The 19,620-nt window shown below is 50.9% G+C and overlaps 1 protein-coding gene and 2 long non-coding RNA genes across 5 annotated transcripts in view, besides 3 other annotated features; 2 read left to right on the plus strand and 1 right to left on the minus strand.

The window, feature by feature from the left end:
* ZNF469 (zinc finger protein 469) overlaps positions 1-19,620 on the plus strand; it is a 339,823-nt gene that overhangs the window by 75,848 nt on the left and 244,355 nt on the right. The window lies entirely within an intron of this gene.
* Positions 511-9,981, minus strand: LOC105371401 (uncharacterized). Of its 3 annotated transcripts, NR_188673.1 has the most exons (4): positions 9,294-9,981; positions 6,666-6,802; positions 2,006-2,174; positions 511-1,868 (listed from the first exon to the last, which is right to left on the minus strand). It is a non-coding gene; the product is annotated as an uncharacterized LOC105371401 (long non-coding RNA). The 3 variants fall into 3 exon arrangements; NR_188672.1 differs by lacking the exon at positions 6,666-6,802; NR_188674.1 differs by lacking the exons at positions 2,006-2,174; positions 6,666-6,802.
* Positions 10,105-10,912: an enhancer, noted in NCBI's record as "H3K27ac-H3K4me1 hESC enhancer chr16:88220489-88221296 (GRCh37/hg19 assembly coordinates)". NCBI's record gives its function as "activates a minimal SCP1, AML or CMV promoter by ChIP-STARR-seq in naive H9 embryonic stem cells {active_cell/tissue: H9 hESC(naive)}" and the evidence as "EXISTENCE:reporter gene assay evidence [ECO:0000049][PMID:30033119]".
* Positions 17,285-17,579: an enhancer, noted in NCBI's record as "tiled region #11460; HepG2 Activating DNase matched - State 12:CtcfO, and K562 Activating non-DNase unmatched - State 12:CtcfO". NCBI's record gives its function as "activates a minimal TATA promoter and a strong SV40 promoter by Sharpr-MPRA in HepG2 cells, with weaker activity in K562 cells {active_cell/tissue: HepG2 | K562}" and the evidence as "EXISTENCE:reporter gene assay evidence [ECO:0000049][PMID:27701403]".
* LINC02182 (long intergenic non-protein coding RNA 2182) lies at positions 17,503-18,439 on the plus strand. The gene is made up of 3 exons (NR_110944.1): positions 17,503-17,733; positions 17,972-18,087; positions 18,289-18,439. It is a non-coding gene; the product is annotated as a long intergenic non-protein coding RNA 2182 (long non-coding RNA).
* Positions 17,788-18,320: an enhancer, noted in NCBI's record as "H3K4me1 hESC enhancer chr16:88228172-88228704 (GRCh37/hg19 assembly coordinates)". NCBI's record gives its function as "activates a minimal SCP1, AML or CMV promoter by ChIP-STARR-seq in primed H9 embryonic stem cells {active_cell/tissue: H9 hESC(primed)}" and the evidence as "EXISTENCE:reporter gene assay evidence [ECO:0000049][PMID:30033119]".

Raw genomic sequence — 19,620 nt, forward strand, 5'->3', positions numbered from 1 at the left:
GCTTCTGGCTCACTCATCTGCTTTGCAGTAAGTTTGGGTCAAAAGAGGCCTTGAGAGGAGAGACAACCCAACCAGAACAGATGCAGCACGGAACACGTACGGGATCGTAAATGCAGAAACGACAGATTCTTCCATCCCACCTTGAAAGTTTTGGCAAGGTGGGGCGTAGCTCGTGTGTCTGTGACCCGTGGCAGGGAAGCCTCATCCGGGAATGGGATGGGCTTTTCCCAGGTCATAGAAACCTCGAGGCAAAGGAGAAGGCACCCGTGCACGTCTCTGGTGACTGACAGGTGATAATGTTTGACTGACAGGTGATAATGTTTGTTTGACTGGAGCAGAAACATTTCTGGACTAATTCACCCCTTCGCTCATCTGGATAGAAAAAGAGGGGCGTGCCGGGCAGGGAGAGAGTGAGAACACAGAAGCAGATCAAGGGGACCCGAGCTGAACTCATGTGCCAAACTATACACACCGCGGGCCTGACTTTCACTACGCAAATGCAAGGTTGAATTAGGCACAGCAAATTCAAATGCTATTTATTGAAGGCTGGAGGTGTCCAGGCTCTTGCGGCTTGTGGAATGCTCCCCTCTTCCCCACCCTGCTCCCCACTCTCCCAGTCCTCACCCCCCACTGGCAAATGAACTTGCGTTTCCTTCCATGCAAGTCCACTGAAATCAGGATATTAGTTATATTTGAAGCGACATGTTCTAAAGTTACTCGGAAAGAAAAAGGTATCAGTTTTCCATCAAGGCACTTCCCATCTCAGACGTGGTCCTGGGGATGTGCCCCTGACACCGAAACCAGCAGACCCTGCCTGTGGCTCCCCGGCCAAGACCAGGCACAGCCAAGGCTTGGCTTGGCTTTTCTGTTGCATCAGAGTGAAACTCGCTCACCAGATTCCTCCTGCATTTAAACCGGGCCTCGTACTTTTATTTTTTTATTTTTTTGAGGCAGGGTCTCACTCTGTTGCCCAGGCTGGAGTGCAATGGTGCAATCTCGGCTCACTGCAACCTCCACCTCCCGGGTTCAAGTGCTCCCCCTGCCTCAGCCTCCCGAGTAGCTGGGACTACAAGCATGCACCACCACACCCGGCTAATCTTTTTTGTATTTTTAATAGAGACGGGATTTCACCATGTTGGTCAGGCTGGTCTTGAGCTCCTGACCTCAGGTGATCCACCCGCCTCAGTCTCCCAAAGTGCTGGGATTACAGGTGTGAGCCACTGCACCCGGCCGGCCTTGTACTTTTGAGGCGGTGTTGACTCTTGCAATCCGTAGCTTTGAGAGCTCCCCATCCGAATCTCAGGCACATTTGACTTTTTCACTCTCATAGGAGTGATCTCCTTAGTCCATCGATCAAACTGCTGAGAGCAGGCCATGGCCTGCCTGCTGTCATGGCCCATGAAGCAGAATTGGAGATGAGAGGGGAGGACCTGGGCTGGAGAGTGGGCAGGAGGAGATCCTGCAAACAGGGAAATGAGAGAGGGGAGGGAGGAGGAGGGTTTGAGAGTGGGGAGGGGAGCTGGGGGTGCTCCCTGACGACCGGGAGGAGAGGAAGGAGGGGAGCTGCAGGCTATGAACGGGGCTGCAGGTTATGAATGGGGCACTCCGGCGTTCTGAGAACTGAGCACTCCGACGTTCTGAGAACTGGGCACAGGGGCACCAGGCCCTAAGTGAGTTCTGCTCCGGGGTGGCCGGGCCCATCCCGAGAGCACTGACGTCCAACAGGAGTGTCGCTGCCCACCGCCTCCCACAAGAGGACACTTCGATTTGCCAGAGAAGGGCAGAGTGGGAGATGACTTTTTCTCAGCATCTTGCCTCGTTTTCCTCTTCCCAGAGGTTTGTTTTTAAGGAAGTTTAAGCTTGCTGCACTGGAAGAGCAAAAAACAATATTTTGTAAAATAAATATTTGTTTTGTGCAGACTTGGGCCTTCCCACATATTGGTTTTTCTTGAAGAGGAGACACAACCACAGCAGGGGTGAGGAGAAGAGAGACACAGTCACTCACTCATTCAGGAATAATCTTTGAGTTGAAACTGCAGTCTCCTCTTGGCCAAAGGGAGGGTGCTGACCACCTTCACCTGGAGGCCGCCTTCACCTGGAGGCCGCCCACCACCTTCACCTGGAGGCCGCCCTTGCTCTTTCAGGATCCTCTTTCATGGGTTTCTGCAGAGCCACTGGGTCAGAGCACATATGTGGGCCATGAGGACTTTTCCTTTGCACCCCAACACATCTCTACCCGTCCTCCCTGCACCCCCAACCCGAAGACGGGCGTGTGATCCTGTGGGTGGGTGCGTGGTCCGTGTGTGTAATTTTGTCCGGAGCAGTCATTCTCGGAGTGGGCCCCAGACCCGCAGTGTAAGCATTGCCTGGTGCTGTGGTTTGGACGTGTGTCCCCTCCACATCTCATGTTGAAATGTATCCCCAGTGTTGGAGTGAGGCCTACGGGCGGGGGTTTGGGTCAAGGGTCAGGTCCCTCAGGAATGGCTTCCTGCCGACCCCACCTGGCAGTCATGAACGAGCCCTTGCTCAATTAGTTCCTGCGTGAGCCAGGTGTTAAAAGAGCGTGGCCCCTCCCTCCCTTTGGCTTCCTCTCCCACTGTGCCCTCTGCACACATGGCTCCCCTTCACCCTCCACCCTAAGCAGGAGCAGCCGGAGGCCCCACCAGAAGCAGATTCTGTTGCCAGGCTTCTTGTACAGCCTGCAGAACTGTGAGCCAAAGAAACCACTTTTCTTTAGAAGTTGCCCGGCCCCAGGTGTCCCTTGATAGCCACACAAATGTTCACCTGTGAACTTGCTATAAATTCAGATTCTCAGGCCCCACCCAGACCTGCTGAGTCAGAAACTCCAGCAGGGGCCTGGAAGTCTGCCTTTTACCAGGAACCTGTGTGATTCCCATACAGAGTTTGAGAACCTCTGGTCTCTGGAACTGCATGCTTCAAATGGGTGCATTTTATGTATGTGGATTATATCTTTAAAAAGATATCCAAAGACAGAAAGATAATTGACTACCTGAAGCAAAGACGGGAAAAGTGTATTGTGGGGTTTGTAACATGCAGAAGCAAATCTGTGGTAACAACAGTACCAAGTATGGGAGGGAGGAAGTACAGGCCTTGCTGTCAGGTTACTACATGTATGTGAAGTGGTAGAATATTGTGTAATGGCAGACTGAGAAGCTACAGCTGTAACTTTATCATAAGCCCTACTGCAACCATGAACAGCTACACTAAGAGGTATAACAAGGCAATAGTGAAGATAAAATGAAATAATAAAAAATACTCAGCAGCTCTGCCTATGGAGTAGCCATTCTTTTATTCCTTCACTTTCTTAATAAATTGGCTTTCACTTTAAAAAAAAGTACTTGATCCAATAGAAGGAAGAAAAACGGAAAAATTATTTAAAAAGAACAGACGAGACAAATACAAAATAAATGTCAAGGTGGTAGATTTAAATTCAACTTCCCAATAAAAATATCCAGATTTTTAGGTTGGGTAGATATAAAAACAAGATCCAACTCTATGCTGTCTACAAAAGAAAAAAAAAATAACATAAAAACATAAGTGGATTGAAGGTAAGGGACAGAAATAGTTATATTCTGAACTATTAAAAGAAAGCTGGGGCGGAGATGTTAGTATCAGATAAAATAGATATCCGAACAAGGAATATTACCAGAGATGAATAGATACATTATATGATCCTGAAAGTGCCATTCTGGCCAGGCGCGGTGGCTCACACCTGTAATCCCAGCACTTTGGGAGGCCGAGGCGGGTGGATCACCTGAGGTCAGGAGTTCGAGACCAGCCTGGCCAACATGGTGAAACCCTGTCTCTACTAAAAATATAAAAAAATTAGCCGGGCGTGGTAGTGGGTGTCTGTAATCCCAGCTACTCAGAAGGCTGAGGCAGGAGAATTGCTTGAACCCATGAGATGGAAGTTGCAGTGAGCCAACGTGGTCCCACTGCACTCCAGCCTGGGTGACAGAGAGACTCTGTCTCAAAAAACAAACAAACAAACAAACAAATAAAAGTGCCATTCTGTAGGAAAATATAGCAGTTGTAAATATGCTTGCACCTAACAGCGGAATTTCAAAACACATGGATCACAAAGTAAAGAAGAAATAGAAAAATCCCTGAGTATCGTTGGAAACTTCAATACTCCTCCAATACTCCTCTCTGTAAGCTATAGAAGAAGTAGACAGGAAACCAGTAAGGATGTAGAACCCTGAATCACAATATCATCCAAATTGATTGATTTGACATTTATTAAGCAATACTTTCAATATTAGCAGAATACACACTTTTTTTTTTTTTTTTTGAGACGCAGTCTCGCTGTCGCCCAGGCTGGAGTGCAGTGGCACGATTTCAGCTCACTGCAAGCTCCGCCTCCCAGCTTTAAGCAATTCTCCTGCCTCAGCCTCCCGAATAGCTGGGACTACAGGCGCCCGCCACCACGCCTGGCTAATTTTTTGTATTTTCAGTAGAGACGGGGTTTCACTGTGTTGGCTAGGATGGTGTTGATCTCCTGACCTCGTGATCCACCCGCCTCGGCCTCCCAAAGTGCTGGGATGACAGGCGTGAGCCACCACTCCCGGCCAGAATACACACTTTTTTACAAATGCACATGGAGCATTCACCAAGATAGACCATATTCCAGGCCGTAAAACAGATCTCAACAAATTTTAAAAAGTGAAGTTATGCGAAATATGTGGCCACAACAGAATTAAGCCAGAAATTAATAGTATGTCTCTTCAAATATTTGGAAGTTAAAGAACATATTTTAAAATGACTGATAGATCAAAAAATCCAAAGAGAAATTAGAAAAAAAATTAATTGAGCAAAAAAGAAAATACATATGACAATTTGTAGGTGCTGGCAAGGCAGTGCTTGGAAGAACATTTATAGCATTAAATGTATATATGTGAAAAGAAGAAAGTTCTCCAATCAGTAATCTAAGCTTCTACCCTTAAAAGCCTAGAAAAGGAAGAGCACAATAAATTCAAAGTAAGGAAAAGAAAGAATATGATAATGATCGAAGCAGAAAGACTGGAAACAAAGTCAGAATGTCACTCTCATCACTCTTATTAACACTGTGCTAGAGGTTCTGGCCACTGAAATAAAGCCAGGAAAAGAAGTGAAAGGCATGCAGATTGGAAATAAGACATAAAATTGCCTTTATATGCACTCAACATGATCATCGATGTAGAAAATCCTAAACAATCTACCAGAAAATGTGTAAGAGCTTATACATTTAGCAAAGTTGCTGGACATAAGGTTAATGTATGAAAACCAATTGTATTTCCATATACTAGCAGTGGACAATAGGAAATTGAATTTAAAAACAATATTCACCATAACATCACAAACATGAAATACTTAATGATAAATCTTACAAAATATGTGCAAAATTTGTTTACTTAAAACTATAAGATGTTGATGAGAAAAAATACAAGAAGACCTAAATAAATGGAGAGATGTACCATGTTCATGGATTTGAGGACTCAGTATTGTTAAGATGTAAATCCCTGCAAACTGAGCTATAGATCCAATGGAATCACAATCAAAGTCTCATCAGACTTTTTTTTTCTTTTAGAAACTGCAAGCTAATTCTAAACTTATATGAAAATTAAAAGGCACTTAAATAACTCACACAACTTTGAAAGAGAAAATCTTCCAAATCTTCTTTGGAAGATTCACACTTGATTTTTGCAAGAGGTACAATAATGCCACTGTAATCAAAACAGTGTGATATTGTCATAAGGACAAACAAGTCAGTCAACAAAACAAAATAGAGTCTTGGAAATAAACGCATGTATATATGGTCAATAGATCTTTTTCAACAAAGTGCCCACATAACTTGATGGGATAAAGATACTCTTTCCAACAAATGGTTCTGGAATAGCTGGACATAAGTCTCCAAAAACAGAGAGAAATGAATCTCAACTTATACCTTACATTAAATACAAAATCTAAATCACAATGGTTGTAGACCTGAAGGTAAAATTTAAAACCGTAAAACATCTAGAAGAAAACAAAAAACTGCTTTGTGAGAATTTGATAGTCAAAGATTCTTAGATAGGATACAAAAACATAACCCTAAAAGAAAAAACTGACAAACTGAACTTTATCCAAATCAAAAGCCTCTGCTCTTTAAAGACATACTTAAGAAAATGAAGAGACAAACCACAGACTAGAAGAAATTATTTACAAAACACATTTCTGACAGGGGACTTGTACCCACAATATTTAACTCTTATAACTCAATACTAAGAAGACAAATATAATCCACTAAAAAGTAGGTAAAAGATTGGAAATAACCCATGAAATAATACCTAAGATGTTTAACATCACTAGTCATGAGGGAAATTAACATTGAAAGCATTATGAATCACCACTGCCAGGTGCTGATGAAAATGCCGCGCGCCTGGAGTCGCGGGCGTTGCTGGCGGGGGTGGAAAACGGGGCTGCCATTTGGAAGACAGTTGAGCTGATGAGTTGAACGTACCCTTAACACGGGCTCCAGCAATCCCACTCTCAAAAGAAATGAAACTGCACGTCCCCACCAAACCTGCACGCAAATGTCTAAAGTGGCTTCACTCACAACAGCCCACATGCCCATCCACAGGTGAACCCGTGAGCAACTGTGTACCTCCACCTGTCCCACAACCTACAGCTCAGCAGCACCAAGGGCGGGACGCTGGTGCCACCACACGGGTCCCGCGAAGCCTGCTGCGAAGTGAAGGAAGCCAGACACAAAAGTCTCCATCCTGTGGGAGTCACTCACAGGACAATTCTGGAGGACGCAAAGCTGTAGGACCGAGGAGAGACAGGTGGTGGTTGGAGGCCGGGAAGGGGCCTGACTGCAGAGGGGCAAAATGTGGGCTGCCTCTGTCGGGGCAGAAGTGCCCCACTCTGGACACTTACCAAGTCGTCGGCTGTGCATCGAAAAGGGGTGAGCCTTATGTGTGTACGTGATACCGCAATAAACCTGACTTGTAAAAGCAGCATGTGAAGTCATCAGCCCAGGACCCGGCCACAGGAGGGGGCGCACGGTGAAAAGGAGACCCTGCTGGGCCCACCTTGCCCGGTGGGTGGGACAGGGAAGCGTCCCTGGAGAAGGCGGCCCATGGGCTTGGGGGAGGGAGGTCCTGTAGGGAGTGGGGAGAGCCACTCGCGTCTTCCTGGGGCTCTTCCTTGCCACCCCAGCCCTTTCCCAGCTTTCTGTTCCTACCGGGAAGGAGGAACGCAGAGGTGCCGGAGTCTCCGGCACTTTGAGGCGGGCAGAAGTGGAAGCTTGAAGTGGGCATAGATTTGCCCCTCCCCTGCCCGGGCTGGGATCTGCACTGTGGCCCCCGTGTAAACAGACGAGACGACCCTCACATCCCAGGGAGAGCCTCACGTGGCTGGGACTGATTCTAGAGCCCCTAACTCAGCTCCGTGCCAGGGAAGACCGATCACCACAGGCCGAATTCCGGGGTCACGGCAGCTTGGCACCCAGCCTGGCAGTGTGGGGCTTGGGGCCACCAGAGCCTCCAGGGACAGGAGGGCACAGCAGTGCAGCCCCTGCTAACCTTGGCAAGCAGGAGGGCGCCGTGATTAAACGTATGATTTCTGCCACCTCCAAAGCCGCAGCCAATGAGAAGGCTATTTTAGCAAAACTGGAAAGAAAAATGCAATTTTTCTTGGCCACATCGTCTTCGTTTCCTCTGCTCCTGGCGTTCGGTTTGTTTGTCTCTTCTCACTACTGAGAGGCAGTTTTGCCAGCCTGTGCCTCCCGCCGGCTGTGGCTCGAGGTGTGGACGCCCGCGCCACCTTCCCGTTCCCGTTTCAGGGGGGAAGCTGCAGAGTTCTGGAGCTGTGAGTAGCACCGCTGTCGCCGCAAAGCAGAACCCCCAGTGATTAGGGACGCTCCACGGACTTCACGGCTGCACGGCCGGCGTCACGGGCTGCTGTTGCTCCAGCGTGTTGGGACGTGCGAGAGGCATTTACGACCTCAGCGACACATTCCCTCAACCTCGTCACGCTGCAAGTGCTGCCAGGGTGTGTTCAGGGGACACTCCCTCTCGGGCTGGCTTGTGCGGGGACACGTGCGTGCACAGACACGGACTCACATAAATGCAATCCACATGCACACACTCACACAATAGGCTGTTATGCACAGACCCTCACACTCATGTGAACACACTCATGCACACGCAAGACTTACATATTCACACTCACACCCGTGGGCACACCCAGACATGGATACACACTCATACAGGCACATACGTATCCAGACACCCACGCACAGACACTCACACCCACGGGCACACCTAGACATGGGTACTCACACAGGTAGTCACAAGCACTCACATATCCAGACACCCATGTGCACACTCACACTCACAGGCACACCCAGACATGGATACACAGGCACACACATATTGGGACACCCACGCATAGACACTCACATTCACACACGGGCACACCCAGACTGATGCACACGAACACAGGCACGCACTAGTATAGCCAGACACACAGGCACACTCAAACTCTCACAGTCACACATTCACATACACTCACATGAATACAATGCATGCACACACAAACATACCTATACACTTGTGTGTGCAGAGAACACACACACATTTGCACTTATACTCACATGAATACAATAGAAACACATGCATACACACTTGTGTGCCCAGACCCACACTCACACATTTGCACACTCACATGACTATAATACATGCACACATGCATACATACATGTGACCAGACCCACACCCACTCACATTCGCACTCACACACACGTGAATATAGTACTCGCACACACATGCATACACATGTGCCCAGACCTACAGACACACTCACATTTGCACACTCACACATGTGAATATAGTATATGCACACACTCATGTGCCCAGACCCACAGACACATTCGCACACTCACACACGTGAATATAGTACATGCATACACACGCATACACACTCGTGTGCCCAGACCCACAGACACATTCGCACACTCACACATGTGAATATAGTACTCGCACACACACGCATACACGTGCCCAGACCTACAGACACACTCACATTTGCACAGTCACACGTGAATATAGTATATGCACACACACACTTATGTGCGCAGACCCACAGACACACACATTCACACTCTCACACATGTGAATATAGTACATGCACACACACACGCATACACACTCGTGCCCAGACACACACACTCACACATTCGCACACTCAGAGTGCCCCCCTCCCTCTCACAGGCCTTGTCCTGGGGACGAGTCAAGCCGTCAGGTACCTACACTCTGAGCTCCCGGATCACTGGGCCGACACCGGAGGCTGCTGCTGTTTGTGGTCCGTCTTCCTGTGGAGTGTATTCGACTGCGGGGGCGTCCACAAGGTGGGTGTGGGTGGGCCCGGAGACCTTTCTTCCGGGAGGCCAAGTTTCCAAAGCCAGTCCTTCACGTTCAAGGATGCCCTCTCCCTGCAGGATCCTGGACTTGTCATGGGGTCTGGATTAGGTTATGCTAATGGCATCCACACTTGGCCTTTCCCCTCTTTCCTTATAAATCAGCCAACAATGGGAGGCCGTGGGCTTCGCCAGAAGCCTCTGGAAACAGAGCTGCTCCTTTCCAGCAGGCCAGGCCGACCGGGGAGGCTGCGGCCCATCGTGCGCTGGGGGAAGGTGAGCCAGGCTCCCATCACGTGCCGGGAGCTGATCTTGGCAGGTCGCGTCCTCCCGAAGCCTGCACTTCAGCCCCAGGGTTTTCCGACCGCCTCTGCTCCCAGAGGGGACCCGCAGGGACGAAGAGGCCGAACACAGCACCGAGACCTCAGTGTCGGGCGCGGGTGCTCCCAAAGCGCAGCGGGCCCACCTCCCCCGGCAGAGGATCGTGCGGCGGTCAAAGTCGCACACGGGGCTTCTGAGACGTGCGGCCCGGGCCTAAGAGCTGCATGTGTGCAAGCCGCTCCGTGTTGGAAAATGTATGTAAAGTAAAATAAACACGGCTCTCGCTGGGAGGGCTCCGGCATCCAGGGTTCTGGCGGGGCGGGGGGATGCGGTCAGCCAAAGCATTTGAGGAAGCGGCTGTGACTCACGGGGCCTGAGCTGCAGAGGAGCTGGCTGCCGAGATGCAGGACACGCCGGAGACACTGGACCCGGGACGCTCAACACACCCTGCCCCCCACTGCAGAGACGGGCTCCAGGGAGGCACAATGGCAGGCTTTGTCTCGGGAGAAAGTTCTAGCAGCCCTGCAGGTGGGGCGGCTGGGAGGCCCCGGGGTATGAAGACGATGTAGCGGGGCCCTCTGGAAGGCAGGGCTGGTGGGCGTCTGGCCAGCAGGTCAGGACTAGCTGAGGTGTCTGTGGAGACCCCCAGGGTCCAGCTCACCTGGTGGGGGGAGCCCTGAGCGGGTGGCGCAGGTTGGGGACCCTGAAGCAGCTCTTCTTTGCCTGGGGTGGCCTAGGAAAGCCGCCTCCAAGCTAGGCCTCCCAGGTCCGACCGGACCCCGCAGAACCTAGCACGTGTGGGCCCAGCACCTGCCCAGGTGTGTGACTTCAGTTTCATGGTCAGCATGAGAACACACGTTCTATTAACAGCAAAATTCTCGCTGATAAAAATGCAGATGAAATTGCATACAGGAAGGAAAACCTCCGGAATGGCTCCTAAACGCAACATCTCACAGGCCCTCTGTAATCAGAACAGTGTGAATTACGCCAATTACAGTAGGACAGGGAGGCCCCTTGTGGGAACATGGCACCAGCCGGGACCCCAACAACTGCTCCCCACAGAGGGTATTTAGGTTGTTTTTTTCTTTCTTTTTTATTTATTTTTTTTGACTTGAAGAAATCTCTGTAAATTGAATCTCAGAAACGCTGGAAGAATCCCAAATGTGGTTTATAGAAACAGTTTGAAGTAGTCCAACTTAATTCCAGATTGCCTGCATTTTTTTTTTTTTTTTTTTACATCTGTGAAATCAAAACCAGACAGAATGCTGTATTAAAATGCAGTGCCTAATGGTGATTTTTCCCATGGCCAATGTAACGAGTCTCAACTCTTAGTTTCCCTGTTTATCTTGGAGTGTCTGAAATCACATTGACTGCCCTCTCCTCCTCCTGTGCTGTTGTCTCTTTTTCCCCAGCAGGGTCTCAGGAAAGGGGCCTGGGAAGAAAAGCGGGTGGGCAGGGGCTTTCCTGGGATGCATCCCGGGCCCTGTCTTTCACACCAGCCTCCTGGCTCCCCTGCTCCCCAGTTCTCCTCCCATAACCCCATCTCCACTTTGGAGCTCAGGGCCTGGCCCTAAGCTGATTCACGCAGTTTCCAAGCAAACAACGAACTTTGCCACCTCTGTGCCTCTGCCCGTGCCGTGACCCCTGCCTGGGGTGCCCTTCCTTGCTGCCCTGGACAACTCCTCCTTTCCTTCCAAGGTCCAGATCACGTCTCACCTCTCCTGTGACACCCCAACACCTCCTCTCCCCCAGAGCACCACAGGCTGCTCCCTCCCCGACTGAGCACCCGTGTAACTGTGCATCTCACTTGGGTAGCATCTAGCACATCTTGGGGGACCATCTGCTGTCTCCTTAGTGTCTGTGTAGACCTGGGGTGTCGTACTGTCATCCTGGGGGCCTGGACTGCTGCCTGGAGGGTTCTGAGGCTGTGCCTGGCCTAGTGGACGGCATGGGCTGCTTAATGACATCTTACAGCATGCAGGAAGGGCGAAGTGCAGCTCCTGGATGGGCTGTTGCCATGGTCTGGCCCCCATGGTGCTCAGACTTGCCAGAGCATCTGAATCTCTGGGAGTCCTGTTCAACCTGGGTCCCCAGGCACCACTGCCAGGGATTCTGAGGCAGGAGGTCTGGGATGCCCCAGAACTTGCGTATCAAACAAACTCTCAGGGATGGCCAGTGCCACGGGTCTCCAGGCTGGGAACACGGATCCCAGTCCAGGCTAGCTGCCCCTGTAGCTCTCGGGAGCCCATTAGAAATGCAGACCCTCCCCCTGCCCAGATCCACTGCACGAGAATCTACATGTCTGTGAGATTCCGGGGGCACCTCTCTGTGGAGTTTGAGGAGCACAGCCTTAGATGCTAGTCCCCGGTGTGGGCACCATGCACCACTCCTTCTGCATTTGTGTCACTACCTGCTTCTGCACGTAGGAGGCACCTCAAATGCCATTTAGAATGGATGCTCAGTAAGCCAAATGTGGCCTCCTTTTTCCCTTTTGGAAAGGAAGGTCCTTCTTTCTCAAACCTTGTGTCTAGAATGTTCCCCAATGAGGGGAGGATGTCTCACTAAAAACACTGAAAGGACATTGCTTATACACTGGCCTTCTGTAGAGAGCCTCTGGAGCCTCGAGGAAGTGTAGCTCCTAACAGTCGGCTGCACTGACTCAATTATACCTCTGTTGGACCTTCCCAAGTGCAGAGCTGCCACTGTCACTTCTGATCGTAACAACCCAAATGCATGTCTCCAGATAGCACCAGAAGTAAGAGCTGGAGGGATAAGGATGGTAATGCTTGGGTGTTAGCCCCACAAAGGAGAAGGGGAGCAAAGGTCTGATGGGGGTATGTGATGGTTCTTCCCAACCGGGGTCTCTGATGGGGGGATGTGATGGTTCTTCCCAGCTGGGGTCTCTCATGGTCTCTCTCTGACTGGAGTTGGGGAAGGATATTTGGACACCTGGACATGCGTGTCTGCATGCCCCTGGGACGTGCTCTCTAGAAAAGCACTGGGCACGTTCATTTATCCACCATTCCACATGCACTTATTGTGCTCCTACTGTGTGCCAGGCACTAGGTTGGGTGCTGGGGAAACGCTCCTATGGGGGAATTGTTTTCTGTGCTAATTGTTGCCACAGAAAAAGGCACAGGCTGGGCACAGTGCCTCACACCTGTAATCCCAGCACTTTGGGAGGCCGAGGTGGGTGGATCACCTGAGGTCAGGAGTTGGAGACCAGCCTGGCCAACATGATGAAACTGTCTCTACTAAAAATACAAAAAATTAGCTGGGCATGGTGGCAGGCACCTGTAATCCCAAGTACTTGGGAGGCTGAAGCAGGAGAATCGCTTGAACCCAGGAGGTAGAGGTTGCAGTGAGCCGAGATTGCACCACTGCACTCCAGCCTGGGTGACAGAGTGGGACTGTGTCGGAAAGAAAAGAAAAGAAAAATGCACAGAAATTTTAACCAACCAGGAGGCAACCAGACTCTGGGGAACTTTCAAGATCCTTATCACAATTTCCCACCCCACCCACCCTGTTACTTCCTCTACTTTTCTCTCTCTTGTTGCCTTGTCTTGACCCTTTGTGCTGCAAAATGGGTACCCATACATGGGGCTGGGGGCTTTAGACCAGTGGACGGGTCTCAAGCCACACAAACAGCTAATCTGGCTACACGAGGCCAAAACCTTCTCATTTTTCTGGGCAACTTTTTTTCCTGGCCCAAAATGTTTTGATTGTTGTAAACTCACAGGAGTGGGGTAGACCATTAAGGCTAATTTCAGGCCGAATATTGTCATTTTTAGAGGAGAAAAGTGGAAACCCTTGGCACTTGCCTGGGTAGTGGCTGAACCAGAGGTGACACCTTGCTCAGTCCCAGCACAGCCCCACCATGCACCCGGCACCACACCAGGCACTCACCCTCTTAACTCATGCAACAGGACAGGTGGCGTGTTTGTGAAACTAGTGGAGGTTTGTGTTCAGGAGGTGGAGGAGGGAGGACAGGAAGGAGAGGGAGAAGAGCATGCACTGGAGAAGTAAATCCAGGGATCACACACAGCCACGTCCTCACAATGCATGCTTGAGATCAGTGTTTGTACTAAGGGCAATGGGGAGCTATTGAAGACTCCAGGCTGGAAGCAACACAGGCAAGAGTGTGTCTTAGAAGCATCTCTGTTGCATTTGGTAGGCTGAGATAGAGGCTAAGCTGAGGCTGTTGGAGAACTCAACAGAGGAGGGTGTTGGCTTGAACTAGGGAAGTATGTTGAGTAAACGGGAGTGCTGTGACCTTTTGCAGTCTTACTTTCCCACTGACTTCTATGGAGTATCAGTTTCCTGTTGCCTCTGTAACACACTGCCACAAACTGGACTTTAGAACAATAGATGTTCATCATCGCTCTTCCCAGGAGTGTCCGGAGGGAGCCAGCCCCTGCCAACACCTGGACCTTAGGACCTCTGACCTCCAGAACTGGGAGAGACTAGATGTGTGTGGTTGGAAGCCTCTAAGTCAGTGGTCATTTGTTATAGCAGTGCTAGGGGCACTAGGAAACAATTACCAGAGGCAAGAGACAAAGTCTTATTAGCTACCCTCCTCTGAAGGACAGAAAGGAAAATATGAGACCAGGAGGGTGTTGAGAGCCAAGTGGATTGAAGTGAAGGCTTGGGGCTCCTTGTGGATTTTGTTTGTGTGGGTTATTTTGTTCCCAGGAGTCTCAGGCTGTGTAGCCAAATGCAGTCTGCAGTTCTACTCTTTCCTTTCTTTGAAAGCAAACAGCCTCTTTTGGAAGAGTGAAGGGCACCCGAGGTTCCAGCTGGGGCTGGCCCAGGCCACGGAGCTCTCGGAATGCGTACAGAGCAGACAGCACCCTGCAGTTGGGTGGGTGCTGGCTTTGAGGTCTGGAGATCTAGATGCCCACAAGGTGCCCCTGGCAATTGGGGGCTGCAAAGGCATCAACCACCGCACTGGGCTGGGGCAGAGAAATTGACACGATGAGCTCGGAAAACATTTCTAATGTATTTATTTTTTGTGGTTCGGCTACAGAAGAGAATACGAAAGGGCTGAAGGGGATGAATGAACAAGAGCAGGAGAAGGACCGCCCTGAGGGCAGGAGAAAAGGGTGTGAATCGGGATAGAAGTCAGAACCCCACCAGCTTCTCGCCTGGGAACCAATTGCTGGGGCTGCTTCCTTCCTTCATTCATTCCTGCTTTCTTCACTTCTTCATTCCCTGAACATCAGACATGGTCATAGGCCCTGCTGAGAATTAAAACAGAACAATGAACAAGTCCCACTCTCAGAACGCAGGCAGAGGTGAAATGTTCGGTGGGCTATGGTGATGGCTTTGGAGATTTACTGGTAGCTTCTGTGGGGTTACTCTGGCTGGGATGGGGACCCCAGGGGCCTGCTATGGACAGAATTGTCTCCCTCTCAAATTTGTATATTGAAGTCCTAACACCCAGCGTGATGGTATTTGGAGGGGGGGACTTTGGAGGGTGATTAAGTTTAGATGAGGCCATGAAGGTGGGACCCCATGATGGGACTGGTGTCCTTACAAGGAGAGGAAGAGGCTGGAGCTCCCTCTTTCACCTTGTGAGGACACTGTGGGAAGCCACCTGGAAGTCAGGAAGGGCCCTCATCAGAAGCCAAGTCAGCCATACCTTGATCTTGGAATTCCAGCCTCCAGAACTATGAGAAACAAATTCCTCTTGTTGAAACCATGCAGCCTGAGCTGGTGGAAGCGTTCGGGGTGAGCATGGCTCCTGCAGGGAGATGGAGCAGGGACATTGTGTCAGGTCTAAGGCTGCTGGTAGAGCCTCAGCTTCCTTTCCTTGGCACTCACCAGGCCATGCTGGGAAAGAAGTCTGAGCCAGGTAGTTCGGAAAACACCCCCTTGGTAACTCTTTTGGGAAACGGAGACAGACATCAAGGTCTTGTCTACTTTGTGCAGGAAGATGACATGCGGTAATAAGGAAAAGAAAATGGGAGGTCCTCTGTCTCATGGAATTTGGGGTCACAAGTGTCTCTACAACACCTTACTGGGTCTCAACTCCCAGCTTCTCAGGAGCAAGAGACAAAGAATACAGGTCAGCAGAGCAGAGCCCGAGGGGCTGGTCCACAGTCCAAGTCACACATGATGAGGACAGTATTGAGAGTCATCACATGATGATGGCAGTGATGGTGGTAATGATGATGGTGGTGATGGTGATGATGGTGGTGATAAAGGTGATAATGGTGGTGATGATGGTGTTGATAATGGTGGTGGTGACAGTGGTGATGATCATGATGGTGATGATGGTGGTGATAGTGGTGATGACAATGATGGTAATGATGGTGATGGTGGTGGTGGTGGTGATGACAATGATGATAATGATGGTGATGACGGTGGTGGTGATGATGATGATGGTGGTGGTGATGGTGGTGATGATGGAGGTGATGGTGATGATGGTGATAGTGATGATGGTGATGATGATGAGGATGATGGTGATGGTAGTGATGGTGGTGGTGATGGTGGTGGTGGTGATGGTGGTGATGGTGGTGGTGGTGATGGTGGTGATGGTGGTGGTGATGATGGTGATGGTGGTGATGGTGGTGGTGGTGATGGTGGTGGTGATGGTGTTGATGGTGGTGGTGGTGATGGTGGTGGTGGTGATGGTGGTGATGGTGGTGGGGATGGTGGTGATGGTGGTGGGGATGGTGGTGATGGTGGTGGTGGTGATGGTGGTGGGGATGGTGGTGATGGTGGTGGTGGGGATGGTGGTGGTGGTGATGGTGGTGATGGTGGTAGTGGTGATGGTGGTGGTGGAGATGGTGGTGGTGGGGTTGGTGGTGATGGTGATGATGGTGGTGACGGTGGTGATGATAAGGATGATGATATTGATTATGAGAGTTGTCTTAGTCCATCTGGGTTGCTTTAACAAAATACCGTAAATTGGAGGCCAAGCATGGTGGCTCACACGTGTAATCCCAGCACTTCGGAAGGCTGAGGCTGGAGGATCACTTTAGGCCAGGAGTTCGAGATTAGCCTGGGCACTACACAGGAGGATCCATATCTCTACAGAACATTTTAAAATTAGCTGGGTGTGGTGGTGTGCACCTGCAGTCCCAGTTACTCAGGAGGCTGAAGTAGGAGGATAGCTTGAGCCCAGGAGGTTGAGGCTGCAGTGAGCAATGATCTCACCACTGTGCTCCAGCCTGGGTGGCAGAGCGAGACCCTGTCTCTAAAAAAACCCCAAAAAAACATAAATTAGGTGGCTTATAAACAACAGAAGTTTCTTTCTCATAGTTCTGGAGGCTGGGAAGTCCAAGATTAAGATCTCAGTAGAGACAGTGTCTGGTGAGGCCCATTTCCTCATAGATGGTTAACTTACTGCGCCCTCACATGGCGGAAGGGGCAAGGGGGCTTTCTAGGGCCTTTTATAAAGCACTCATCCCATTAATGAGGGCTCTGCTTCTTAACCTCGTCACCTCTCGAAGGCCCCACTTCCTAATCCCATCACTTTGAGGTTAAGGATTTCAACAAATGAATGTGGAGGGACACAAACACTCAGGCCTCAGCGTGGCCCGGCACCTGCAGAGTGTGGCTTGGTGCAATCACTCTTTAAGCTCCCGCCCCTGGTTACTTGGTTTATTCCCCCCTCCGCCACACAAACCTCCAAGGCTGGGCTACTGATCATCCTCTTCCTACAGACGAGAGACTGCAGGCCTGGAGATGGCACAGCCTGCTCAGGCCACACGGCCTGCAGGTGGCACTGCACTGCAGCAGCCGGGGACGGGCCTCACGTCCTCAGTGCCCCGTGATGTCATTTCAGTGTCGGAGCAGGGAGGGACCTGCTTGTTTTAGAGAAGGGGGTTCACCTGGGACACCCCTGAGCTTTGTCCCAAGCCTCAACAAGCCACTCACTTCCCACTTGGGAGTAGTTTCTCTGCACGCACCAGGCAGTGGGACCAGGGAAGAAATCGCGTCCGCTAAGTGGTGTCGTCTGCCTGCAAGACCTGCACAGCTCCCAGGCCTATGGCTTTGGGCACCAGGTGCTGGGCCGGCGTCTGGAAATGATTAATTCCCTTTGGAGAGAAAAACATCACAGCTGCGTGGCCCTTCCCGGTCCTGGGCGTGGGGCGGGAGGCAGCCGTGCCCGGGATTTCGCGCTGCCCCCGGCGTCTCCTTCCCCGTGCTTTTGTGACTTGATCAGGGTAGATTTATTTTCCGATCCACTGGTTTGTCAACATGTCAATTGACTTGCCTCCATCTGCTTTTTCCCCATGCCAGGACGGTGCCGGCTGAAAGGGAAGTGTCAGCTGTTCTTCTGTCTTTAAAAGGCAGCAAAGAAAAAAGCGCAGGGTTGGGTTTCGTAACGTCAGAGGAGGCCAAGGACACAGCATGGAGTGAGTTACCCGGGCGGGGAGGGAATCGGTGGGGCTGGTCCACGTCGCTGTCCCAGGGAACGGTATTTCTCTCTTTCTTCAGCCCTCATGCGTGTTGCTGGGCTGTGGACACTGGACGAGTTCGGAGAACTCTGGGCCACGTAGGCCCCAGAGGTGCAGGCTGATGGATGGGCTTGTCTTTCTCCCCTTGTCGCCTTTCAGATCTGACGGGAAACGCATGTGGGCGAGGAGGTGATGGGCTTCAAGGCGCGGCTCTCTGGTCGCAAGCCGCCTGTTCTCAGAATACAGCTGGCTGTGTTGTAATCGCACGCTGATCTCACAATAAATAACGTGTGCATGGAACGTGCCTTCAGATGAGCGTGAATTTTTACAGTGTGCACAAACAAAATCCCCCAGCCTGGAGAGCTAAAAGCAGGAGGCGGCCCAGGGGGTGACAGGGCCTGCCTTTCTGGACATGCATGACCTGCAGCCTCTGCACCGGGACTGTGCTGCTAATTATAGCTGTGTTCGTGGGCCCCGCTGGGTGGTTTTGCGAAAATCCATGATTCAGTTCACACTGATAATCTGCTCTGAGGCTGTGGGTGAGGGAGGATTTTCTGGGGGAACAGAAGGTGATCTGAGGGCTGGAGGGGAAGTGGGTTTTAGCTGGGGCTGTCGGCTGATCCTGGCCAAGAGACAAGGTTGCAGAGTTGATTCTGAAAGTTGGACGTGTCTTGGGGTGAGAGTCTCTCTGTCATATCGTCAGACTCAGCATGAAGGTGGTAACAGTCCTCGAGAGGGCATGGGCCCAGCTAACAATGGCAGATGGACGTTTGAAGAAAAGGGGGAAGAGGGCTCTTGCTCTGAGACCTCGGGGTGTCCCGAGATGCAAAGGAGAACAGAGCCCAGAGCGTCAGGAAAGGTCCCATGAGTCTCTCATTGGTCCCCCACCCTGAGCTGTCTCCAGGGAAATCTCTTCTGGAGTAATTTATATTCCATGTCAACTGGTCAGGACAGCCTCTGTGGGTTTGGGAAGGTAGGAGGGAGCTCCAGAGACAACACCGAGCAGGACTTGATGCCCAGACACTTGCTCCCAAGATGATTAACTTGGGAAACTGGAATTATTCTGCCCAGAGGAGGCTGCGTCGTGATCCACAGACATCTGATATCTCAGGCCACATCAGTAATGTTCTGTTTTTCCTGGAGACCTGTGCTCTGACTTATCCATCTGCATTTGGACATTGGAGTCTGTGAGGCCAGCCCTCGCCTTTCTGTGTGTAGGTGGCGAAACTGAGGCCTAGAGAGAGGCATGGCTTGCCCGAAGTGGTGCTGATGGCGTGAAGTTGCTCTTAGAAGTGGAGTACCTGTCGGGACAGCATCTACCTTTGTGGACCACCAGGCTAGCAGGCCTGGCCCAGAACAAGACCTGCAGCCTGTGCCAAGGAGAGAGGTGGCCTGGGTCAGGTCAGGTGCAAAAGCTGGCTCTGAATGACGTCTATGATTCTCATGAGGGCAAGGATCCCAGCCTAGTTCAGCAAAGCCATCGGGGGGAAA

The sequence above is a fragment of the Homo sapiens genome, chromosome 16, assembly GCF_000001405.40.
Source record: "Homo sapiens chromosome 16, GRCh38.p14 Primary Assembly".
Lineage (NCBI taxonomy): Eukaryota > Metazoa > Chordata > Mammalia > Primates > Hominidae > Homo > Homo sapiens.